Source organism: Homo sapiens, chromosome 11, assembly GCF_000001405.40.
Source record: "Homo sapiens chromosome 11, GRCh38.p14 Primary Assembly".
Classification (NCBI taxonomy): Eukaryota; Metazoa; Chordata; class Mammalia; order Primates; family Hominidae; genus Homo; species Homo sapiens.
Window position 1 is genome coordinate 35,019,280 of NC_000011.10, and position 26,947 is coordinate 35,046,226.

General features: G+C 40.2%; 1 long non-coding RNA gene across 3 annotated transcripts in view, besides 4 other annotated features; it reads right to left on the reverse strand.

The window, feature by feature from the left end:
• The window catches only part of LOC105376626 (uncharacterized), a 59,489-nt gene that overhangs the window by 11,577 nt on the left and 20,965 nt on the right, over window positions 1-26,947 (reverse strand). For all 3 annotated transcript variants that reach the window (XR_001748180.2, XR_007062653.1, XR_007062654.1), the window contains exon 3: window positions 10,890-10,986. This is a non-coding gene — a long non-coding RNA (uncharacterized LOC105376626). The remainder of the gene's footprint in view (window positions 1-10,889; window positions 10,987-26,947) is intronic.
• Window positions 10,734-11,933: an enhancer, noted in NCBI's record as "MED14-independent group 3 enhancer chr11:35051560-35052759 (GRCh37/hg19 assembly coordinates)". NCBI's record gives its function as "activates an origin of replication core promoter dependent on BRD2, BRD4, P300/CBP and CDK7 cofactors, and independent of MED14, by STARR-seq in HCT116 cells {active_cell/tissue: HCT116}" and the evidence as "EXISTENCE:reporter gene assay evidence [ECO:0000049][PMID:35650434]".
• Window positions 10,896-11,015: an enhancer, noted in NCBI's record as "active region_4610". NCBI's record gives its function as "activates an Ori minimal core promoter by ATAC-STARR-seq in GM12878 lymphoblastoid cells {active_cell/tissue: GM12878}" and the evidence as "EXISTENCE:reporter gene assay evidence [ECO:0000049][PMID:35858748]".
• Window positions 17,130-17,199: an enhancer, noted in NCBI's record as "active region_4611". NCBI's record gives its function as "activates an Ori minimal core promoter by ATAC-STARR-seq in GM12878 lymphoblastoid cells {active_cell/tissue: GM12878}" and the evidence as "EXISTENCE:reporter gene assay evidence [ECO:0000049][PMID:35858748]".
• Window positions 21,119-21,318: an enhancer, noted in NCBI's record as "active region_4612". NCBI's record gives its function as "activates an Ori minimal core promoter by ATAC-STARR-seq in GM12878 lymphoblastoid cells {active_cell/tissue: GM12878}" and the evidence as "EXISTENCE:reporter gene assay evidence [ECO:0000049][PMID:35858748]".

A 26,947-nucleotide genomic window follows, 5' to 3' on the forward strand; every position in this document is an offset into this window, starting at 1 on the left:
TTTTTAGCTCTAGTACTGAGTCATTAATATTTTTCTGAAGATTCTATTTTTTAGTATGTTTTAATGTTTTGTGGTTTTTTAAAAAATAAAGTTCCTGAGATCTTCAAAGTTATAATCTATAACTAATAAATTTAAAATTATTGATATATCAATTGACTCTTCTTTGTAGCAAAAAGTATGTTTTTCAATTGAGAAAATATCCAGTTTTACAGATGCTGAGGTAACTGGTAAGATCAGGGCAGTTTATGCTGGATGGAGAATATTCTCAATTCTGTATTTGGTATTGATAAAACTAAATATTTCGCAGATACTGTTCCACTTAGAGTAACTGTTTTGACAATTTTTTAAATGTTTTTGGGTACATAGTTGGTATATATATTTACAGGGTACATCAGATACTTTGATACAGGCATGCAATGTGAAATAAGCGTGTACATCATGGAGAATGATCCCCTCAATCCATCCCCTCAATCCAATTCAATTTTATAGACAATCCAGTTACACTCTTTAAGTTATTTTAAAGTGTACAATTAAGTTATTATTGACTAGTGTCATTCTATTGTGCTCTCAAACAGTAGGTCTTGTTCATTCTTTGTTTTTTTGTACACATTAACTATCCTCGCCTCCCCCACAAATATTTTTAAAAACAAAATTTAGCAAAAAGGTTGTCTCTGTTTTAAGTGCTTTATCAAATTTAGATGCTGAAAAATGGTAGGTTTTCTGAATTTTACTTTATTCCAGCACAGAGTACTAATTTATCTAATTAATTAACAATAGAAGCCCATCAAAATATTCTTCCTAGATGTCAAGATACTTGAAGCTCAATGACTAATTTTCCTAATAAAATCTCATATACTATTTGATCACTATTTTATGTGTTTAGAAACACTTTGATTTAATATGAATACTTTTTTTTTTTTTTTTTTAGATGGAGTCTGGCTCTGTCGCCCAGGCTGCAATGCAGTGGTATGATCTAGGCTCACTGCAACCTCCACCTCCTGGGTTCAAGTGATTCTCCTGCCTCAGCCTCCCAAGTAGCTGGGACTACAGGCACCCACCACCATGCCTGGCTGATTTTTGTATTTTTAGTAGAGACGAGGTTTCACCATGTTGACTGGGCTGGTCTCAAACTCCCAACCTCAGATGATCTGCCTGCCTCAGCCTCGCAAATAAGAATATATTTCAGTGTCTTCTTGTTTACTAGCTTTGTTTCTATTAATGGCAGTTCTCCAAAATCTTCAAGAGCTACACTTTGGGAACTTTCCATTTATTGTATACTTTAATTAAAGGTTTCCAACTGATTTTAAATTAAATTGAATTTAGAGTTCTCATTTTAAAATAAGTAAATAAATAAAAGTTCAGTACATTATAGGACACTTAGGTTGATTTCCAAAACAATTCAAAGGTTTAAAAATTTCTAATATCTGATTGATTATGGGCAGTGAAGAGGTAAATCTCATATGATTATGTCAAGATTTTTTTCTAATTCAACATTAGCCTTGTGGAAAAAAATTGATAGTTTAGTTGTTGTGTGTGTGTAAATTTTGACAAACAGAGCTTCTGTTTTTATTAGTAGAATGTTGTAGCTTGTTTGTACAAAATGATGGCTTACATCTTTTTTTAACCAACTATAAGTACAATTTTATAGCTCAATGAACCTATCGCTTTTGTTAGATGGGAGCAAGCAATGGGAAATGTCTACCATTTGGCTTTAAAAGTCTATAAGCAACAGTTACCTATGATGTGTGAGTTTGGGGTAGCTTCCAATTCATCATTGTCCTGACACATGTCAATTACCACATATAAAGTCAAATACAATGTCAAATCCAAAGCCTCAGAGAAAAAAAAAAAGAATCCAATTCCCAAGAGAACAGTGATAATTTAATGTAAAACTAAAGTATACTGACATTAAATTAGTACTGCTGAAACAATATATTGAGGATTTACAGTAACATCTGGAAATTCCTTCTAATGTACATATAAATAGAATCATGGAAGCTTTTTATATTGCCTCTTCTGTGGTCTTACAGATTTAATAAACCAAATAAAACTGAACCTCCACTCCACATCTCATTCTTTATCACTAGATAAGATAAAATCTATTCTTATTCATAAGGTAGGGTTTTAAGCGTTCATTGTTTCTTAAGCCACAGTTAAAGAAATTATGTCTTTAACTAATTTTGGTATTGTCTCTTCATTCTGTACACGGAATTCCAGCAGATTTAATATTGGCATTTATCATCTGGTCAAACCTTTACATGTTTTCCAATCAAACTAAGGATTCTCAACATTTTCTGTATTAATAAAATAAGGTATGGTATAAAATTTGATGAAGACCTGCTTTTTCCTGGCCGCACTGGACTTCTAGAAGCCATTTGGATTGAGTTTAGAGGATAGGGGAGTACTGAAGTTTCTTGGTCTGAGTTTCTGTTTAACAGTTAGAGAAGTAGAAGGAGCAGGAGATCATGTGGACAAGCTGTGACCGGCAGCTGTGCCGCCTGCCTTGGTAGTGGTGTGAGCTGGATTTGGGGCTGCAGTGCTATTCTGGGAGGAGTTCCTTGAAAGAGTTTACAACAGTTGTTTGATTTGAACAAAACTGTGTGGTTAGTGGTAGTGCCAGAAGCAGCAGGCCCCCTATGCGAGCCTGGCCATCATCGTTCTGCCGTGTGTGCATTAAAACTTTGCCCCGCAAGGGACGAGTTCCAAGGTGGCCGAATAGGAACAGCTGTGGTCTACAGCTCCCAGGGAGATCGACGCAGAAGACAGACGATTTCTGCATTTCCAACTGAGGAACCTGGTTCATCTCATTGGGACTGGTTGGACAGTGGGTGCAGCCCATGGAGAGTGAGGAGGGCAGGGCGTCAGCTCACCTGGGAAGTGCAGGGGGTTGGGGGATTTCCCTTTCCTAGCCAAGGGAAGCCATGAGTAACTGTACCTGGAGGAGTGGTACACTCTCGCCCAAATACTGCGCTTTTCCCAGTCTTCCCAACCAGCAGACCAGGAGATCCCTTCCCGTGCCTGGTTTGGTAAGTCCCATGCCCACAGAGCCTTGCTCGCTGCTAGCACAGCAGTCTGAGATCGACCTGAGATGCGGGAGCTTGGTGGAGGGAGAGGCATCTGCCATTGCTGAGGCTTGAGTAGGTGGTTCTATGCTCACAGTGTAAACAAAGCAGCTGGGAAGCTCGAACTAGGCAGAGCCCACCATAGCTCAACAAGGCCTACTGCCTCTCTAGATTCCACCTCTGGGGGCAGGGCATATCTGAACAAAAGGCAGCAGGCAGCTTCTGCAGGCTTAAACGTCCCTGCTTGACAGCCCTGAAGAGAGCAGTGGTTCTCCCAGCATGGCATTCAAGCTCCGATAACAGACAAACTGCCTCCTCAAGTGGGTCCCTGACTCCCTTGTAGCCTGCCTGGGAGACACCTCCCAGTAGGGGCTGACAGACTCCTCATACTGACAGGTGCCCCTCTGGGACGAAGCTTCCAGAGGAAGGATCAGACAGCAATATTTGCTGTTCTGCAGCCTCCACTGGTGAGACCCAGGCAAACAGGATTTGGAGTGGAACTCCAGCAAACTCCAACAGACCTGCAGCTGAGGGGCCTGTCTGTTAGAAGGAAAACTAACAAAGAGAAAGGAATAGCATCAACATCAACAAAAAGGACATCCACACTAAAACCCCTTCCATAGGTCTCCAAAAAGACCAAAGGTAGATAAAACCACAAAGATGGGGAGAAAACAGAACAGAAAGGCTGAAAACACCAAAAACCAGAAGGCCTCTTCTCCTCCAAAGGAACACAACTCCTCACCAGCAAGGGAACAAAACTGGACAGAGAATGAGTTTGACGAGTTGACAGAATTAGGTTTCAGAAGGTTGGTAATAATACACTTCTCCCAGCTAAAGGAGCATATTCTAACCCGTTGCAAGGAAGCTTAAAAACCTTGAAAAAAGGTTAGATGAATGGCTAACTAGAATAACCAGTGTAGAGAAGAGCTTAAATGACCTGATGGAGCTGAAAACCATGGCATGAGAACTTCGTAAAGCATACACAAGCTTCAATAGCTGATTCAGTCAAGTGGAAGAAAGGATATCTGTGATTGAAGATCAAATTAATGAAATAAAGTGAGAAGACAAGATTAGAGAAAAAAGAGTGAAAAGAAATGAACAAAGCCTCCAAGAAATGTGGGACTATGGAAAAAGACCAAATCTATGTTTGACTGGTGTACCTGAAAGTGACGGGGAGAATGGATCCAAGTTAGAAAACACTCTTCAGGATATTATCCAGGAGAACTTCCCCAATCTAGAAAGGCAGGCCAACGTTCAAATTCAGGAAATAGAGAGAACACCACAAAGATACTCCTCAAGAAGAACAACCCCAAGACATATAATTTTTAGATTCATCAAGGTTGAAATGAAGGAAAAAAATGTTAAGGGCAACCAGAGACAAAGGCTGCGTTACACACAAAGGGAGGCCCATCAGACTAACAGCAAATCTCTCTGCAGAAACCCTACAAACCAGAAGAGAGTGGGGGCCCCTATTCAACATTCTTAAAGAAAAGAATTTTCAACCCAGAATATCATATCCAGCCAAACTAAGCTTCATAAGTGAAGGAGAAATAAAATCCTTTACAGACAAGCAAACGCTGAGAGATTTTGTCACCACCAGGCCTGCCTTACAGAGCTCCTGAAGGAAGCACTAAACGTGGATAGGAAAAACTAGTACCAACCACTGCAAAAACATGCCAAATTGTAAAGACCATCGATGCTATGAAGAAACTACATTAATTAATGGGCGAAATAACCTGCTAGCATCATAATGACAGGATCAAATTCACATATAACAATATTAACCTTAAATGTAAATGGCCTAAATGCCCCAATTAAAAGACACAGACTGGCAAACTGGATAAAGAGTCAAGACTCATTGCTGTGCTGTATTCAAGAGACCCATCTCACTTGCAAAGACACAAATAGGCTCAAAATAAAGGGATGGAGGAAGATCTACCCACTAAGCAAATGGAAAGCAAAAAAGGAGAGGTTTCAATCCTGGTCTCTGATAAAACAGACTTTAAAGCAACAAAGATCAAAAGAGACAAAGAAGGCCATTACATAATGGTAAAGGGATCAATTCAACAAGAAGAGTTAACTATCCTAAATATATATGCACCCAATACAGGAGCACCCAGATTGATAAAGCTAGTTCTTAGAGACCTACAAAGAGACTTATACTCCCACAGAATAATAATGGAAGACTTTAACACCCCACTGTCAATATTAGACATATCAATGAGACAGAAAATTAACAAGGATATCCAAGACTAGAACTCAGTTCTGGATCAAGCAGACCTAATAGACATCTACAGAACTCTCCACCCCAAATCAACAGAACATACATTCTTCTCAGCACCACGTTGCACTTTCTCTAAAATTGGCCACATAATTGGAAGTAAAACACTCCTCAGCAAATGTAAAAGGACAGAAATCACAACAACCTGTCTCTCAGACCACAGTGCAATCAAATTAGAACTCAGGATTAAGAAGCTCACTCAAAACCACACAACTACATGGAAATTGAACAACCTGCTCCTGAAAGACTACTGGGTAAATGACGAAATGAAGGCAGAAATAAAGATGTTCTTTGAAACCAATAAGAACAAAGACACAACATACCAGAATCTCTGGGACACAGCTAAAGCAGTGTGTAGAGGGAAATTTATAGCACTAGATGCCCACAAGAGAAAGCAGGAAAGATCTAAAATCGACACCCTAACGTCACAATTGAAAGAACTAAAGAAGCAAGAGCAAACAAATTCAAAAGCTAGCAGAAGACAAGAAATAACTAAGATCACAGCAGAACTGAACGAGATAGAGACACAAAAATCCCTTCAAAAAATCAATGAATCCAGGAGATGGTTTTTTGAAATGATCAACAAAATTGATAGACTGCTAGCAAGACTAATAAAGAAGAAAAGAGAGAAGAATCAAATAGATGCAATAAAAAATGATAAAGGGGATATCACCACCGATCCCACAGAAACACAAACCACCATCAGAGAATACTATAAACACCTCTACACAAATAAACTAGAAAATCTAGAAGAAATGGATAAATTTCTGAACACATACACCCTCCCAAGACTAAACCAGGAAGAAGTTGAATCACTGAATAGACCAATAACAGGTTCTGAAATTAAGGCAATAATTAATAGCCTACCAACCAAAAAACGTCCAGGACCAGACAGATTCACAGCTGAATTCTACCAGAGGTACAAAGAGGAGCTGGTACCATTCCTTCTGAAACTATTCCAATCAATTGAAAAAGAGGGAATCCTCCTTTACTCATTTTGTGAGGCCAGCATCATTCTGATACCAAAGCCTGGTAGAGGCACAACAAGAAAAGAATTTTAGGCCAATATCCCTGATGAACATCAATGCGAAAATCCTCAATAAAATACTGGCAAACCGAATCCAGCAGCACATCAAAAAGCTTATTCACCACAATCAAGTTGGCTTCATCCCTGGGATGCAAGGCTGGCTCGACATAACGCAAATCAATAAATATAATCCATCACATAAATAGAACCAATGACAAAAACCACATGATTATCTCAATAGATGCAGAAAAGGCCTTCGACAAAATTCAACAGCCTTTCATGCTGAAAACTCTCAATAAACTAGGTATCGAAGGAACGTATCTCGACATAATAAGAGCTATTTATGACAAACCCACAGCCAATATCATACTGAATGGGCAAAAACTGGAAGCATTCCCTTTGAAAACTGGCACAAGACAATGATGCCCTCTCTCACCACTCCTATTCAACATAGTATTGGAAGTTCTGGCCAGGGAAATCAGGCAAGAGAAAGCAATAAAGCGTATTCAAATAGGAAGAGAGGAAGTCAGATTGTCTCTGTTTGCAGATGACATGATTGTATACTTAGGAAACCCCATCGTCTCAGCCCAAAATCTCCTTAAGCTGAGAAGCAACTTCAGCAAAGTCTCAAGATACAAAATCAATGTGCAAAAATCACAAGCATTCCTATATACCAATAACAGACAAACAGAGAACAAAATCATGAGTGAACTCCCATTCAAAATTGCTACTAAGAGAATAAAATACCTAGGAATACAACTTACAAGGGATGTGAAGGACCTCTTCAAGGAGAACTACAAACCAATGCTCAAGGAAATAAGAGAGGACACAAACAAACTAGGCCCCCCAAAACCCACCACCACTTATTAGACAGAATTAAGTGGGTTTGGGCCAGAACAGGGGAAGGTCTGAGCAAATAAAAATCTCAGAGATGGCGTGTATCATTCCATCTTCAACCTGCAAACACCCACGGGGCCTGAGGCACAGACCTCCATGGGCTCATGTGCATCGTCACATCAAACACCGTTAATGGGCCAGAGTGTGGCCTGTCCTGCAGGACACCACAGCAGGACATACTCTGTGCTTGTCTTAAGGATCCCATCACCCTAAAGAAGGAAGTCAGACAGACAAAGGATTAACAGGAAACAGCTGCAAATATACCATTAAAGAAAGATATGAAAGGGAAAATGCTTTGACATTAGAAAGGTTTTGTTTGTTTGTTCTTGCATTCCATACTCATGGATAGAAAAATCAGTATCATGAAAATGGCATTACTGCCCAAAGTAATTTATAGATTCAATGCTATCCCCATCAAGCTACCACTGACTTTCTTCACAGAATTGGAAAAAACTACTTTAAACTTCATATGGAACAAAAAAAGAGCCTGCATAGCCAAGACAATCCTGGGCAAGAAGAACAAAGCTGGAGGCATCACGCTATCTGACTTCAAACATTACTACAAGGCTACAATAATCAAAACAGCATGGTACTGGTGCCAAAACAGCATGGTACTGGTGCCAAAACAGCTATATAGACCAATGGAACAGAACGGAGACCTCAGAAATAACACCACACATCTACGACCATCTGATCTTTGACAAACCTAAGACACGCAAGCAATGGGGAAAAGATTCCCTATTTAATAAATGGTGTTGGGAAAACTGGCTAGCCATATGCAGAAAACTGAAACTGGACCCCTTCCTTACACCTTATACAAAAATCAATTCAAGATGGATCAAAGACTTAAACATAAGACCTAGGACCATAAAAATCCTGGAAGAAAACCTGGGCAATATCATTCAGGACATAGGCATGGGCAAAGACTTTATGTCTAAAACACTGAAAGCAATGGCAACAAAAGCCAAAATTGATAAATGATTAAACTAAAGAGCTTCTGCACAGCAAAAGAAACTATCATCAGAGTGAACAGGCAACCTACAGAGTGGGAGAAAATTTTTGCAATCTATCCATCTGACAAAGGTCTAATATCCAGAATCTACAAAGAACTAAAAACAAAGTTACAAGAAAAACGCAAACAACCCCATCAAAAAATGGGCAAAGGATATGAACAGACACTTCTCAAAAGAAGACATTTATGCAGCCAACAGGCATATGAAAAAATGCTCATCCTCAATAGTCATTAGAGAAATGCAAATCAAAACCACAATGACATACAATCTCACACCAGTTAGAATGGCGATCATTAAAAAGTCAGGCAACAGCAGATGCTGGAGAGGTTGTGGAAAAATAGGAATGCTTTTACACTGTTGGTGGGAGTGTAAATTAGTTCAGCCATTGTGGAAGACAGAGTGGCGATACCTCATGGATCTAGAACTAGAAATACCATTTGACCCAGCACTTCCATTACTGGGCATATACCCAAAGGGTTATAAATCATGCTACTGTAAAGACACATGCACACGTACGTTCATTGTGGCACTATTCACAATAGCAAAGACTTGGAACCAACCTAAATGTCCATCAATAATAGACTGGATTAAGAAAATGTGGCACATATGCACCATGGAATACTATGCAGCCATAAAAAAGGGTGAGTTCATGTCCTTTGCAAGGACATGGATGCAGCTGGAAACCATCATTCTCAGCAAATTATCACAAGATCAGAAAACCAAACACTGCGTGTTCTCACTCATAAGTGGGAGTTGAACAATGAGAACACATGGACACAGGGAGGGGGACATCACATACAGGGGCCTGTGGGGCGTGGGGGGGTAGGGGAGGTTTAACATTAGGAGAAATACCTAACGTAGGTGATGGGTTGATGAGTGCAGCAAACCACCATGGCACGTGTATACCTATGTAACAAAACTGCACGTTCTGCACATGTAACCCAGAACTTAAAGTATAATAACAATAAAAAAAACTTTGTCCCCCAGTCACTAATGCCTATAACCATGTGCAAAGTTATGTGCCCACAGGCGACAATATCCGCTTTTGCTTACTGCCATATAGTATGTTTGAGTTCTCTTTATTTTGCCGTTGGAGATTTCCTTTATGTCTCTTGAACTTGGCCATGTATTTCAGCCAGCATTTCTTTAGGTTTATAAAGGGAGGGACCCCATTTCTGTTACCTTAGTCTGGCATGTTATGAGGAGTTCATTTTTTAATGATATAGAAACCTTGTATATCAGTCAATCTGTTGCTGTGTTAAAAAAAAATATATAGTAGCTTAAACAATCATTACTCACAAATGAGGGGATGGTGCTGATTCTTAGGGTCTGACCCAGTTGATCTTGGCTGGGCTCAGTCATGTGTTTGTGCTCAGCTGATAGGTCAACCTGGTGCTGCCTGATCTGAGATGGCCTCACTCACATGTATGGCTATTAGCTATTTATTGAGTGGGTTTAAAGTCTCTGGTAATGAGGTTATATGTTTCTCATCAACCAGAAGCTAGCCCAGACTCATCCATGTGGCATTGGCAAGATTCTGAGAGTAAGATTGGAAGTGCACAGCCCCTTGATGCCAAGACTCAGAACTGTCACAGCGTCAATTTTGTGCCATTATAGTGGCCTAAGCAGGTCACAAACCAGCCCAGATTCAAAGAATGGGGAAGAGTTGCACAGTAGCATTAAAAAGAGCTCTGTACTGAGAAGGGAACAATGTGGACATTTTGGCAAACAAGGTATCTCACATTGGAAAACAAAATTTTTAGACATATAATCATTCAAAACTATTTAACAGTCTTTATTCTAGCCAATCAATCATGAATGCAGAGTTTTCCATTCATTTTGAAAGCCAATAGCTTTAAAATATATACATTAATTTAGAAGGATGCAGAAATGAGCCAACAAAATTAATTCAAAAAAATTAGTACCAGGACTATTGGGTAAATATAAAGGATTAAAGATTACTTTTTAAAAAAATCTAACGTTTTGTATTGCATTAAGTTTTCCATGTACTTTCATATATTTCATTATTTCTGAATCATACAATATATATAGTTCTTTCCACTTTATGGATAAACCTCTGAGTCTCAGAAGCTTGCCCTAAATCATTCAGTAAGTGGCAAAACCATCACTTGGATCCTGGTCTTCTGACTATAATCCCATGCACTGTCTACTTTATCCTGCAGCCTGCAGGTCAGAAAGGGTTGGTCTAAATGAAATTGTGTCTATTTTTATGCAATGAATAAATTCTTGAAATTTTTCTTGAAAATCATAATTATAATTTAAATGCTATGATAGAAGTTTTCAAAAAGTAAATAATCATAAATGGCCAGTGACTCTCAGCTGTCACTGAATGCTGTGGATAAAAAAAAAAATCCTTGAAAAAAAAATGAGCTCTTAGGTTTGCACATGAATTCAGAGGTAGCTTGGGAGTTTGAGGTTTTCTAACTATAGGTCCCCCAAACCCTCTTTCTGGTGATAATGACAGCTTCTTGGGAAAAGTCAAGATGCCTCTGTTTTGGGTGTGGTTCCCGAATTTGCTTCTGCAAGCAGCGTGACTCATTTGTTGAGCTCACTTTATGCAAAGTGGTTGTGGGAAGTGAGCTACTTACCAGGAGAAAAATGTAGTATTTTGGGGGTTTCTAATGGCTTTCCCGAGACGAGGTGTCTGCTGAGCTGGAACAGCATTAGCACTTTGAAGGGTGTGTTCTGTGTCAGACAGAAAACCTAGAGTTAGTACCATCTGATGACTTCTACCAGGAAGGAAGGAAACTGACATTTATTGATCATGAATTGTGCAGATCGTATGCCAGGTGCTTTGCATGTATTATTATTTTTTCATCCTCATAAAAAACCCATTTTATAAATAAGGGGACTAAGGTTTGGAAAATTTGACAGGATTTATCATAGTCACAAAGCCAGTAGGTAATGGAGATAGGATTTTAACCCCCTTACTCTTTCTGAATCCACCAGGCTGGGGAGGATGTGTGGTAAAGATCATAAATTTAAGTCAATATTGGGAAATTATGTGAAAGGCTTAAATTAGCAACTGCAGCACCTTAAGAAAAATTAAAGAGAAATTGTGTGTGGTAAAAGGAATTTTTTTTTTTCTAGTGAAATTTTGTATCAGTTTGCCTGGGCTTCCTGTGTGAGATGCTCTGTGTTCCTGGCGAGAGGCTGGGCCCAGCAGGCCTGTCCTTGTGCTCAGCGACTCTCCCACCTCTCCAGCCGATTCCTTCCATCCTTGTACGAGGCTGAATTCTGACGCCCAGGATGAGCTCCAGCGGACGTCAAGCTGATGTGTCATCTTATGAGTGAGGGCTTCTGAGCTAGTGCCCATGAGCTCTGACTCATCAGGCTTCTAATTATAACTCGTCCTGGCTTCTCAGATAATGGGTTTGTCTCAATAGTTTCCAGGGACACATTAGACCAGTCCTATATTTTGTGGGACTTGGGTGTTTAGGCAGCCCGTGGTGTTCTGGGCGGAAATAGAGAAGAGACTGACAAGTCATCAAGAATTTCAGTGGTGCCCCTGAAAGTTGTCACAGCATCTCAAATGTGCCTCTGAGCAAATGGTCTTTGGCAGAGCTTGGCAACCCTGCTTCAGGTTCCAACACTACAGCGTACAATCCCTAAAAGAGCTTTGGCATCCTGAGGATGTTAATGTCCCATAATGCCCAATGGCTGTGGTGGTAATGATGGGTAATAGACTTTAGACCCCACAAAACCAGCTCTCCAGGCACCCCACAGGGAACAGCAGTGGGCAAAATAGTGGGCAGAGCAGAGAAGGAAAGTAACATAGGATTCTACGTGGTTCCCACCTGTGGAAATGAACAGGACCCTTGCAAGTCCATTTGGGGCACCTCTAGTGACTCCTCGAAGACAAAGCAGATAAGGACAAGAGCTTCTGAAATAAAAACTGCATTGACCCAGAACTTTGGGACTGCAAGAGGACTGAGAGGCCCTAAATTTAACCACTACATTTCACAGACCAACTATAGCTCAGAAAGACTGTGATTTTCCAGTATTGCACAGCTAGTTAGAACCTATAGCTTTTCAACCCTCCATCTAGCATCTTTGATGCCCAACAAATAGTAAGTATTCCTCCAAAATTAAAAAATTTCCTTGTGTTCATGATTCAGTTGATTAAAATTGAGGTGGCTTTTTTTTTTTTTTTTGCCATTTTAAAGGACGTTGACAGAATCATTCAGTGGTATATCTCCAACTATAAGATCTTTTGAATTTGACACCACATCTAAAGTTCTTTTTCTTTCTTTTTAAAATTTTCTTTTAAAAGTTTACTTGACTCGATGGATTCAACATGTAAAGTTAGTTCTGTCTTTATGGTTTTCACACAGAAATTTGTATTGATGGTGCAAAGCTTAGGATTCTTCAAATGAGTTTGTTATGGAGGCTTGCTTTTCTGTCCTGCCTATTGCTACTACATTATCTCTGCATCTCAGATACAAATCAACACTGACTGAATCACAGAGCCAGCTCATGATAGGCATGTGATGACGAGTGAACCAGGAAAAGGGCAAGAGGGGCCTGGGGCTAAATCTTAGCCTGAGTCAAACTTGGGAAGAGACCAGGACATCAAGTGTGGAGGCCCAGAGTGAGAGTAGAATCAGTCTTTGGAGTAGAGCAGAGACAAGGTTTGAGGCAGAACAGAAAGCAAAGAAGGAGGGTCTAGGGAACTGCAAAGAGATTTCCATTCTAGTGCTCACACTCATCAACTTGTAGGAATTCACAGATCAATGGATTAGTGATTAAGCTTGGTAGGATTGTTGTGTAAATGGCCAGTGGTGTCTGCTCTGGATGAGGAAAGGAGAGTAAATGTATGAGTGCTGCATATTTGCAGTCTACAGCAGTATAGCCAAATGCTTACAAGTGCAAACTGCAGATGGTCTTATCGCTGCCCCTTATAGCTGGTGACATTGGACAAGTCACTTGACTCTTCATTGTCTCATTTTCCCAGCTTGAAAAATGGGTAAAAACTCATAAAGGTTTTCTGAACATTAAATAGAATTATATAGGAACGTTGCCTAGAACAATGCCTGGGACACAGTCGTCACTCAACATATGTTAACTATTATGACAGTGCTATCCCTGGTCTTGGACACTTGCTATGAAAAGCTTTGGAGTATCTGCGATATGTAAGGATGAGGATCAGATTTAAAAGGGCATAGCAAACTTGGGGTTAGTTGGACAACTTCTCTTTTTCTGATAATGTCTATAAAGGTGTTTTGAACCAAGAGTACTTAAAACAAAACTTTAACATGTGTTTTGAGCCTGACTGCTGGAGGGGATGCTTGAAAAACAATGTGGATTACCTAAAAGCAGCCTCCACCTTAATCCATGTTGGCCGCTAAGTGTGGGGTTTTGTTGAAACCACTCATACCACTTAATTAGCTTGCTCAATCGTTGTTTTTAGTCTGAAAATTTTTGAAAATCCTCCCCCTGCACTAAAATTAGGGAATGGAGGAGTGGGAATAAGAGAAGCTCTAACCACGCAGGCTTGACCTTGTATAGTGGAACAGACTTTGCCTTGCACCAATGGGGATTGAAGATGGCATGACCTCTTCTCTGAACTCCATCTCATTGCCCTAATGAGGACCTGGCAGCGCCTGGGTCCGCCACTTGACTTCCAAGTCTCATGATTAGAGGCTCTTTATTTGCTCACACCTCACATACTTCAGGTTCAGGAAGTGGAGGAGGTGCCAGATCTCATTCCGCGTCCCTCCTGCCCCTTCAGAATGTATACTTCCTTGCTACCGGTACCCTCTTTCCTTTCTGCCCTCAATCCTCAGTCTGCTGGTCACACCTCATTCTCTGAGGACTTAAACATCTGTCTTCCTCTCAAGGCCAAATTCCATTGTCAAAGAGAATGAGAGGAGAATTATTTCTTCTCTACCTTCTGAACAATTGGACATTGCAAGAGAAAACCAAAGAATGAAGTTCATTGGTTTCACATAGCATTCATGATCATCAGTCTCAAAAGATGTCTAACAATCCTACCATTTTTCTCTAGAAATCTAGCCTTTCCAGTTTCAAGGTGACTATTTGTACCCAAAACACATCCTGCTTTCTTCCACTTACCTCTGGGGGCACTTTTCCCCAAACCTCACTAAGAAAATAAAAGTGGCCAGACATGTATCACCTCCATTTCCCTAATACAAAAACAACAAACCTCTCTATGTGGCACTGATCTGCTACTTGCCTCCTGTTGCAAAGCACAAAGTGCTCCTCTTCCCACCAGAGGCTAGCCTCTCTTATCTCCTCCTGTCCTCTCAAAGACTTTGATGTCTTACCGCCTTCTTTCCCTCTGATAGCTATAAATGTTTCCTTTCTACTACAATATTCTCATCAGAATGTAAATATTATGTAATGGTATTTCTCTAAAAAGCAAAACAAAAAGTTTCATCCCTTATTAACTGAACAGTCCTCCACCTGTTCTACTCTTCTTAGCCAAAATTCATAAAAAGCTCCCACATATTCTGTTTCCATGTTTTCTCCCATTTAATCCTCAACTCATTTCAGACTGACTTCCATCTCCACTTCTTAACTGAAATTGCTTTTGTTGGAGTTACCCAGGACCTGGAAATTCAAGAGATACTCTTCTTACTCAACCTTCCTCAAAATGCTTTCTTCTGTTGACTTTTCTCTCACCTAACTGTCTAATCCTGCTCAGTCCCCTAGGCTGTTTCTTCTCATTACCTCAGTATCCTAACAGTAGAGTACCCAAGGTTCAGTGCCGGACAATTTGTCTCCTCTGTCTATACACTCATCTCAAAGATTTAAATGCCATCTGACCACTCTCAAATTCATGTATCCAACCTTGATAGCTGTAATGACATCCTCACTCTAATAATAACAATAGTAAAGAACAACAAAAGTAAGTGATATGCTACATTCCAGGCCTATTTGAAGCACTTTACGTGATTGGATAATAGATACTTATCACATACTTTGAAGTAGATTCATTGTCATCCCCATTTTATAGATGGGAAAATGGAGGTATAAATACATAGTTTTGTATCTTGCAACCTACAATTGATAAGCAGTAGATTGAGAACTAAAATCTATCTACTAGACAGAAATTGTTTTATATATCCTTCCAATATAATCTTATGAGATGTTACTTTAGACAGAAATCTGAAAGCCATCTTCAGGTTCTTTGTTTCCTTTACTTTCGCATGTAATCTATTCAGAATTCCTGGTCCTTTCAGCCTCGCAGTGTATCTTGAATTCAATTGCTTCTTTCCATTTCTCCTGCCATCGCTGAGTCCAGAGTTTTTTGACCTTGGCACTGTTGACACTTTGGGCTGGATAGTTATTTGGTGTGTGTATTTTAGGATATTTAGCAGTATCCCTGGCCTCTACCTAGCTGATGTTGGTAGCATCTGTGATCATCAAAACATCTCCAGACATTGCCAAGTGTCCCCTAGGAACTGAGAATAACTAACCTAGTCTGAGACGTCATTAACTTTTGCCTGAACTACACTAATCTCTTACCTGTCCTCTTGCTTCCACTTTTATTTCTTTTTTTTAATTGTCCACAAAGCAAGCAGCAAATGGAAATAAGATTATGTTATTCCTCTATCTATCTAAAATGCCTTAATACTTTCCTATCAGATTTATTAAAAATGTAGGGAAAATACCGATTTTTACAAAGGCTTTGTGTGATCTGGCCTCTGCCAAACTCAGTCTCATCTTATAGTATCTTCCTTTTTGCTTAACCCATATGGGAGTTCTTTCAGCTCTGGAGTCAGTTGAGCTTTCTACCAACTTGTTCTTCCCTGTGGCAGAAAATCTGTCTCTTCTCCTTCTCCTCAATGTGCATGTGTGCGTGCATGAGTGCGTGCACACACACACACACACACACACACACATTCTACATACTACTTCTACCCCATCCTGCATGTCACAAAACTGGCTCCTTATCATTCTTCAGATCTCAGCTTTAACATCACCTTCATGGAGAGACTTTCTCGGATCACCCAATGCAAGTAAGTTCCCACCTGCCCTCACCCCATTATTCTCCATCATACCCAGTACCCGGTTTCCTTTTTCATACTCTTCATTGTATTTATATATGCATTTGTGCCCATTTGCATGTTTTCCATCTACCATATTAGACTGTAAGTCCCACAGGGCTTGTTCACTGTGGGGTCTCTGACAATTTGCACAGTGCCTGGTGCATAAAGGCAGTAAATCACTCATTGAAGAGGCTGCTAATTGCATGTCACTTAGAGTGGTTGAATAATTTCAAAGATTTCCCAAATCAACACCTGATGATGGAACGCAATCTTGGGAAGAATAATATGAGTAAAGGAGAGGGATTTAGCCATAATCAGGAGTTTAATCAGAGCTGACATGGTTTGTCTTGGAAAAAGGGAAATCCTTGTTGGGCTGCCACTATGCATTCTTGAGCTATGAACTGGCCAGACTTGTTATTTCTGGCTACAGTTATCCACTACTGAGTAAGTCACTGGGTAGCATGGTTTTCCCCCTTTCAGTTGGTGGTTGCAATATGGCGGAACTAACCCCATTATCAGTTCTTCTAGGCTTCACATTCAGGATGTGAGGAAACAGGAATTAAGTATAACTCCCTTGGGGCCATTTCAACAGCTGTGGTTTTTGAGGAAGTTCCTGTCTCCCAGAACCAGCTTCAGGGGAAAAGGAGATGCACAGCAAGAATCATGTTCTGTGACTTTCTCCCTGGAGATAATTCTAGAATCACCCTGATGTGTTTGTGTCTGCATGCGTATGTGCATGAACACGTGTGCAACTAGAAGTGGTCTAGTCATTTCTAAAGCTCAAAGAGTCTTTAGGCAATATTTAGCCCAACCTTCTCATTTTATAGAAGGAAATTGAGGCCGTGAGAAATCTGACTTGCCCAGTGTCACACAACTAGTTGATAGAAAAGCTGGATTTATTGACAAGTAACACTGATGTCTGAAATAAAAAAAGACAGGAAAAAAAAGAAAGAAAAGAAAACTGGATTCAGACAAAAGCCAGGTCTCTTTTGATCACACTTCCATGTCTGGAAGGTCCATTTCAAAACAGCATTTGATTGTTTTTTTCTGGTTAAAGAGGAATACGTAGGGAAGATTCACAGCTGCCATTCTGGGTGTTCTGGGTTCTGTCAAGCCTTGGAAGGATGACTTCCAGCTGCCTTTCTAAGAGGCAGCACTTGGCAGAAGCGATTGTCAGCAAAAGTCGTATATTCTAGGTGAAATCCCAGCCTTGTCCTCTGACCTCAGTTCACCCTTTAGTTTCTTTGGTTTCAGCCATGACTTATCAACCACCAGCCAGCCTGCTTGGGTTCCTCCTCCAGCCTGTCCATTTGTGGTTCCCCCTTAGTCATCTTGCCAACCCCTAGCTTGACTGTAGACCCCTTTACTAGCATAGTTCTTGCTTCTCCTGAACACACATTGGCTATTCCCAATATCTGTAGACCCAACCAACCCAACAGCTCATTGCCTAAAGGCTTACCCATCAGCACAGCACGCCCCTTTGACCACCAAGAGAATACAAAAGCCCAGGCAACTTCCATCCTCTTTGTTGGGCTCCTCTATCCTAGAAACACTGAGAAGCAGCCATCACACAGAGTACAAGGGCATTTCCCATTGCTACAATCTGTTTTCATTTTTCAGAATATTAAAATTTGTGAGCCACCTCAAATCTTTCTTGGAAGAAATAGACACATATTCCTATTTATCAGGGAATAAATAGATGTGACCACAAACAATGTATTTAATGTGACAGAATTTGCCAAAGAAAACCAAATCATGTGAGAAGGATAGACTCTACAGATCAAAACTGGATCCTTTGAGCAAAAAGGAATAGGATTTGGATACAGTTGTCTAAGGAATGAACTACAGGTTTGACTTTTTTGGACAAAACTGAAATATGTGATGGATGTTCCCTCCCCTTTCTATTTTTGGCTGTCCACCATTCTACTCCTTCTATGTGGGGAGATTTTCCTACCCTATTGTGTTTTGTGTTGGTAAAACCCAGTGCCCTATTTCCTGGTATAGAAGTTGGGAAGAGGAAACTTGTCTCTTCTCCTGAATTCTGGCAGTGTTGGTTAGTGACCTGTGCTTAGCCAATCAGATACTTGGATATGTAGGACTTGGAATCTTTTCAATGTGACACAAGGCTGCAGGTATACATGGAAATAGGATCATTGCAGCAATAGTGGCACATCAGTAATGGTGGTGACAGCAGCAGGAGATAATGGCTGTGGCACTGGCAGCATCCTCAACATGTTTTAGACATGTTCTTCTTAACACACGATCTTGATCGTGTTTGCTATTCCCTAACTCCCTAGAGCAGCTCAGCTCTTGCATTTTTCCAAGCCTCGCTCTCCTGCCTTCCTGTCTATTCTGTGAACTTCTCTGAATTCTTCCAATAGATTTATTTCCTGCTTCAGTTAATCTAGAGTTGATTTCTGTTGCTTGTGTTTAAAGAATCTAGATCATACCATGTGGGTGAGATGAATTACTCCTTCTCAGGACTCTTCTAAATGGAACCCTAGAAAGTCTCAATGGTGTACGTAAGTAACTGGTTTTAGGGAAAAAAAAAAAGGTTGGAGAGGTGCTTGTATGACCAATGCTCTTCAAGGAGATAGGAGGAATTGTGGGCATTGGTGACTGTTTATTGTCAGGTCTACAGGACTATACAAATCATATTAATTGAGTGATGAATAAAATCTTTCTTCAGAGAAAGTTTGTCTTGTCTTTGAGTTTCCTGCCCGTGTAGTGAACGTAAGTTGGAAATAATGGTACATAATACCTTTTGTTTTTATGGTGCTATTTGACTAAGTGCCCTGGAATCTCACTGAACAGCAAAAAATGCTCCTTCTTTATCTGATAAATGTCTTGAGATGCACAAGAAAATTGGATCCTGGAAGTCCTGATTCCTTAAGGTCTGCATCCTTCAAAGGTTCTGGAAAAAAGGCATCAGAAAAGGGATTGATTTGTCTCTGGTTCCTTGGATCAGAAGGACTGTCTAGCACTGGGCTTATGTAGTATTTATGGGTCAACCCTGAAACAGGCTTCTGTACTGCTGGGAAACTACCCAGAGTCAGAAGCTAGTTCCCAAATATGATGGAACACGTTGATAAAGAACCTTAGTTGATCTGCAGTGCACTATCTGGAAGCCATGTGGAGGCCACATGGAATGCAAGTCCTTCTTTGAGACCTGGTAACTCAATAAGCAAACTGCCACCAGGGGCCCCGTCCTAGCCATAGCCCCATCAGCATCATTTCAGTTGAAATGTCTCTACTTTGCTCACAGGGGACTGTCCCATATACCCTATTTTGTTGTTCATTTTGTTTTATTTCAGTGGCGTTACAATTCTCTTAGATGAGAATCCTTTGCTAAATGCTATAGACAACATTTTTTTCTAAAATCTAAACCAAGACATAGGGAAGTTCTGGAAAACAAGAAGGAATTTCCTCTTCTGGAAAATGAAGGTGTGGCGGGCCAAAAAAATCCTCAATAAATTCCTTCAGGAAGGCTGCTGCAGAACCATCAACAGCTTTGTGAAGTTTTAAAGGCAAAGGTTGCCATAATGCTTCCCGAGTCACAGAGCCATGCACATCTTGGTAGAGATAAAACCTGAGAGTGTTCTGGGGTCAGTGCTGGAAATTGACAGGGAACTGGCTCAGTCTTGTTCAAAGAGGCAGGATATGGGGGAGCATCCCAAGCTAATTCTGAGTCACCAAGAATGATTTTGCAGATGGGGAAAGATTAAAAGAATTAATCAGAGAAAAGAGAGTGTCTGCAGGTAGGAAGACCCAATGAAAACAACCAAAGACGATAATCTGATTGATTTTGCTGAATATCACCTATCTCATTTGTAACGTCATCCTCAAATGAGTAACTCTTACCCCACCATATCCTAAAGGTACTGCTTGGCATGGACCTGATAGAGGAATAAATATGTTTACACTTAACATAAAATTTTGAAAACCTTCACATGCTGCCTATTCAAGGACATGAATTACCTAGCTCCTTTTCAGCTACCCACATTTAAATCTCTTGCTGCTTCTCACTGAGCCTGGGAGAACCATGCCAGTTACTTGATTCCTAGAAAAGTCCTGGCTCCTCCTTAGGTTATATTTTCCCTGCCCAGGTGAAGGTAAGATGGAATTGACTGCACTATTGTCTGTTTTTGTCAATGCCATTTCTCTAGGAGTCTTGGAGTCTGTATTTTAGTAGCAGAAGTATGTTTTCCTTTGTTGACCAAAATTTTCAGATGCAGAAAAAAAAAAAACAAATTCTAAGGATTCTAGTTCCTTAAACTCTGCTTTCTTCAGAATTTTTTGGAGGATAAGCATCAGAAGAGGATTATGGGTACCAAAAAACAGAATGAATAAGATTTTCTATTTGATAGTACAAAAGGCGACTGCACTTAATGATAACTGTACATTTTAAAATAACTTAAAGAGTGTAATTGGGTTGTTTGCAATTCAGTGGATAAATGCTTGAGGGGATGGAAACCCCATTTTTCATGATGTGCTTATTTCACATTGCATTCCTGCATCAAAATATCTCATGTACCCCATAAATATATACATCTTTTATGTACTCTCAAAAATTAAAAATAATAAAAAAATAAAAACAGAAGAGGGCTAGAGAGTGAGAGATCGAAAGATGAGGAGGGAATCACCCATCAAGAGTCTGTTTATGTACATCGTGGCCCCGACCTACCGAGATCTGCATAGAGACAAGAGTGAAATAAGACTGTGTTTTGGAAACTGTGGTAAGAAGGAGGCAATGAGTCAGTGCTTACCATCCCCAGAAAAAGATATTGCTCACTGGGGAGTCTTTGGGGCAAAGTCTGTACATGTATCTGGGGGTGGAGTTGGAAAGACAGATTGGCATATGGGTATTTGGAGGAAAGCAGTGGGAGAGAGAGAGAATGTGAATGAATGAAAAGTGGGAAAACACATTGGGGAAAACACATAGTACCGAAAGCGGGTCTCTGAGGCAGAAGGAGCCATCAAAGCGGAAGCAGAACTCAGTGCCGTGTCGATAGTGAAGGGAGATTTGAAGATTGCATAGGGAACCCAGAGACATTCATTTCATTTTTTTCATGCTTCTAATTTTAATTTCTTTTCAGCTCAACACGTGAAATAATTGTGGTTTAAAGCAATGTAGTTTCGGTAACCTTAGGGCTATACTTATGTCCAAGTTTAGGGCTTAACCAAACATAGCATACCTGGAAATGGTCCTTTATTTATCAGTAGCTGAAATAGAAGCTGAGTCACAGGAGCGACACAAACACATCTGGTGTCTGTCTCATGCCTTCAAATGCCACAGGGTGTTGGCGATCTTTGCTTTTACTTGCTCAAGCCTTGAAATCTCCTTGGTTGATATCCGCTCACCTTGCTCAGTGTGAATGCCCCTCAAACTGGTCCTTCACTAGTTATTCTCCCACATATAAGTGACTTGTTTCCATGATTGACATTCAGAGTTGAGCTATAGGGCATTTCACCAACTAAAGCATCTGCTATTCCACTCATTATTCCAAACATTGGGAATTAAACGGAGCTCATCGTTGGAATTTCAACTGTGCTTATGTTAGATTTTATGTGTGCTTAAAGGGAAGTGGGAGAAAGAATCATCTTGTTGGGAAAAGAAAAACAAGTACCCTCTTCTCAGCTTGTAGTAATCAACTACAATTGCTATCCTTTCTACCCGCTTCCTCTACCCCTAGCACAGAAGAAGAAATAGGCTAGGATGGGGAGTGCCACTATCTCAGTGGCTCAGAAGCCACTAAAAATCAGTGAGATGGATTTACATCTGCAAGTCATGGTAGGTCATTCCCTTATTTCCATGTATTATTTCTATCACATTCAATACCGTGAGAATCCTCTAATGTAAGCTGTGCCTACATTAGGGAAAATCAAGATGATCCCTTGGACACAAGAGAAAATACTAGAGCTTCTATTATATTTATTTTTTAAGCTATCCTTTTACATTTTCTATTTTTGTGTATATGTTGTGTATCTATTTTGTGTATATGTTGTGTATATGTTTATTAGTATATTGGTAAATGAATATTATCTATCTACTCATGCCTTCTCTGTCTCTCTCTCTGTCCCCCACCTCTCTATCACATCTGCCATATGTCATCTGTCTAGCCATTCTTCTATCAGCTTTTCTAAAAAAGCTAAGAAGCTTTTTTAGAAATACAAATTCATAAGAGATTCTATTCCAGCAGGTTTAGGTGAGACTAGGAAACTGTAGTTATCAGGCTCATTTATTTCTGTTAACCTTTTATTTGATGTAACCTTACACAAAATCTTACCATGTAAAACAGATCAAGATGGGCTACTCTTTTGCAGGAGGGCTAGAGGCAGGGTTCGGATGGTCCAGTCCTCCAGGGTTCCCCTTTCATTTGCTGTCTCCTCTGCTGTCTGTGGTCAGTGTAAACTCCTGTTTGGAAACCACTGTGGAAACTACTGAAAGATGCATCCTTGGAGAGTGGCTGGTTCAGTGATTGAAATTGGACTAACAACACATCCCCCCTCCCCTTTCTTCAATTAAATCTTATAGAATTTCTCACTAGCTGTATTCATTCTAGCTGTTCTTCATGGCACATGCTAAACACCTGTTCACCGTCGCAGCCCAGGCTAAGAGAAAGGATTGTAGCTGCTTGGGTCTGACACTTGGAATGGATTCCTCTTCCTAAAAGAACCTGTTTTCCCCATGCCATTTCCTGTTTTCCCTTATTGCTTCATTTTTCTTGCACAGTTTACTTCCCTGCAGTGAACAGTCAATACTCATGACCATGTGCATTGCACAGTATAACCAGATCCCTGCAGCAAACATTTTTCTGATCTTATTTCTGATTTCAGATAGCTCCCTCTGCAGAAGGAGAGTCTGCTTAAACTAAATGCAATCCCATATCCTAGGAGCACTTTGCCCACTGGCCAATGCAATTAGGCTCATGTTTGGCTATGATTTTATTTCTTATTTTGCTGGTTTAGAGATGGCCTGTTTCCCAAAAGCACATTACACTATCATTTGTAAAGTTATGTTGTCTTCATGAATAACCTTAAGGGGCAAAATTACCTTATAGCATTAGGGGGAAATGTTGGGTATGGCAGATGGAGATATATCACTTCTCTTCAAGAAAGGTCTCACTGTGCAGCTACTAAGAGGGTAGTCAGCAGACAGTGTACCTATTAGCAATTTTTGAGCCCATCTCATACTCTGTTCAGAATGGCCCCATGACTGAGCAGGGACATGAAGGGAGGGCTTGACTATTTCTGTCCGGTGGGAACTTGGCTCCAAAAGGTAATTAGGCAGGTTAGTCTAATAAAGACTGTATCATGATCGCATGGCTCTCCCATGCCCAATCCTATTTCCTCCCAATTCCTTTCATAATTGCTACTCCCCCCAAAGCCTTATGCACTCGTAATTCTGCCTTAGCGTCTGCTTCCCTGAGAACAAGAGGCTGGGGATGAGGGAAAGGAAGTGACAACCAAATATAGGTTGCAGTATGCTCCTAGACTCCTGAAGTATACTATTCCCAGCCTGTGGCTATGAATAGCCTCTGGGAAGTCTCAGAGTTACTGCAAGAGATCTGCAAATATACACACATGCCCAACATTGCCTGTAGCCTGAATACATAATATGTCTAAATATATTGAATAATATGTGTGCTATTTTTCAAATATATAAATAACAATTCACTAAAATAGTTTTTCTAATACTGCATTTTTAGATCAGTGGGTGCTAATAGTACCAGACACACGTGTGCACAGGCAAGCGCACACACACACACACACACACCACACATACATCCAAGAAAAGCTTTTGCTTTGAAGAGATATGTTAAAAGGGCTGTGAACCATTGTTTCACATGTGACCCTCTTGTCTTCATACATTAACGGATACTTTCCCCAAAGACAAAAAACAAACTTTGAGAAAGGCTACCTGATTCCCAAATTGAACAGCTCTAATTTGATAAATCTTGATAACTCAGAGGCGCAGAATGACCAATTCTAGAGGATAATGAGATGTCGTGTGGCCTCTTAGTTCAATCTCAGACCTTTTAAAACATGTGCTTTTTTTACTGGCAACCTGGGATCCTGACCCTCCTGTTCAGAGAGATGACAGGTAAAAAGTATTTGGCTTGGGTTAAACATCTCTGCTTGTTTGGGGACAAATTGCTTGGTCTTTGCATACAATAGTTATTTTTAGGGAGCAGATACCATGTAATTTTGGATTGCCAGTTAAGTGGAATCTTATAGCTGAAAAGGACCAGCTACCTACAGAGGAAGACATAGACTCATTCTGGGGAGTATAATAACTCGTCCAAAGCCACACAGCTAATAAGCAGAGCACGTTTCTCCTAACAGTAGACAGGAACTGTTAAACTAAATTTGGGCTTAAGAAGCCTTCTCCAAGTCTTACGTAATGAACTACAACCTAATTTAGTATGTAAACAAATTGAAAACCTAATTTAGGAATTTGCCTTTGTAACATATAGCTGAGTCTCAGCCAGTTACAGCAGCTGAACTTCAGCCAATCACAGCTGCCAAACTGTTCTCAGCCAATTACAGCAGCTGAGCTTTAGCCAATCATGGCTGCCAACTGTTCAAACTAGGTTCAAATAAGACAGACACAAGCTGTAACCAATCAGTCTGCCTCTGTACCTCACTTCCATTTTTTTGTATGTCACTGCCTTTTCTCTGGAGAGAAATACAACCTGCACATGTGGTGAGGCAGAGCATTTTTGGTCTGACATGCTGCCCAATTTTAGAATGGCAAATTAAAGCCAATTAAGATCTACACAACAAATCTAGTTATGTAGATCTTGATTGGTTAATTAAGTAATTTTTAGTAATTTTGTCTTTTATCAGAATCAAACTGTGGATTGTGATTTGAAGTGATCAAAAATTACTAGCTTTATCTGTCAGAATATGCTAGATTATGTTGCTATAAAAAATGACCAAAAAATGTTGGTGGGTTAACATAAAGGAATTTTATTACTGTTTCATCCAAAGTCCATTGTAGCCTGGAATGATTCTCTAAGATACTTGCCTCCACATGGTGGCTCAGTGATGCAGGCTGCTTTAACCTAACAACACCTTCATTTCAACAAAAAAACTTCACCATTGTCATAGCAGAGAGGGAGCATACTGGAGGGTCACTCACTGGCAATTAAATGCCTTGGTCTACATGTGACACACAGACCACAGGCACATGACCCTTTCCAAAAAGAGAGGAGAATGGGATGAGAGGAAGCACTAAACATCTCCACCGTACCACCCTCCCAGGGAGCTAGAAAATTCCATTAGTTATTGTTAGGGTAAATTTCAAAAGTTCTCTGACAGTATTAATTTATTAAGTCATTATCACCCAATAGCATATAAATCATAAATTATTTCATCAGTTTTGATTTAGTAACTAATATTTTGAAGGACTAAACAGCTGTGGGGAAAAATGAATTTTAAAATTCCTTTTCTAATTAAAAAAAAAAAAAAAAAAAAGCAGTCCAGGGATTTAGTGAAGCGGGACAGAATTATATGGGAGGCACTTCCGGGGTGGGGGAACAGCACTGGAGATGGATGGTGGTTGAGGCCGTGAATGTCAGAGAGAGGACTTTCCAAGGGAAGAAGGTGCTGAAAGAGGATGGAGGCTGTCATGACCATCGTCCTTGAATTTCCTCCACGTTGTCCATGTGAGCAGAGCACCTTTCAAATGTCTGTGGATATCACTTGAATGACACCAAGTTTTATCAAACCTTTGATTTTTCTGTCTGTCTGTGATGTGCCTTCCCTCCCCATCACCCTAGCAACGCTTTGAAAATAACTCGCTAGGCTAGACGATTGGGTTTCCTGTCACATTTTAGTGTCTGCCGTGCTGTGAAGACTGCGATGGCAGAGATACACATTGCGGAAGGAAGTCAAGCTTGTTTTCAGCATCAGTTGATTTATTAGATCCTTGATATTTTCCAGGCTACTACAGATACTTCTGTTGGCCTGGCATACCCAGGTGAAGCAACCCACCAAGGCTGGGAGCTTTGTTAATGTTTCACAGCTGAGTGTTTACCCAAGTCCTTTAAGCCATCTAGGACTATGGGATGGACTTAAACACTCTTCTCTTTGAGTTCTCCCACCTTTTCACTCTGAGCTGAAAATATTAGTGAAGAGCCACTTCTGTCCTCAGCAGGTATGATGTTTACTCTCAGACTAAAAAGTGCTATAAATGTTATAAGAACAAGATCTAAGGGTCTTGTTGACATATTCTAATGGAGTTTTCTTTAAAAAATGGGCTAACAGAGGTGTCACTTATTAGTCTAGTGCATGACTTTGGAGTCAGACTGCATGGATTCACATCCTGGTTCAATCACTTACTAATGATGTGGTCGTAGGCAATATACTTAATCTTTCTGAACCTCAGTTTCTTTAACTTTCAAATAAGGACAATTGCATCTACTTCAATACATTCAAAGCACATAGGAGACGTGCAATAAATATGAACTCTTATTGTTCTTGCTGTGCTTTCAAGATATTTCAGGGCCAGGAGGCTCATGCCTTTAATCCCAGCACTTTGGGAGGCCAAGGCAGGAGGATCCCTTGAGGTCAGGAGTTCAAGATAAGCATAGGCAACATAGCAAGACCTTTGTTCTACAAAAAAG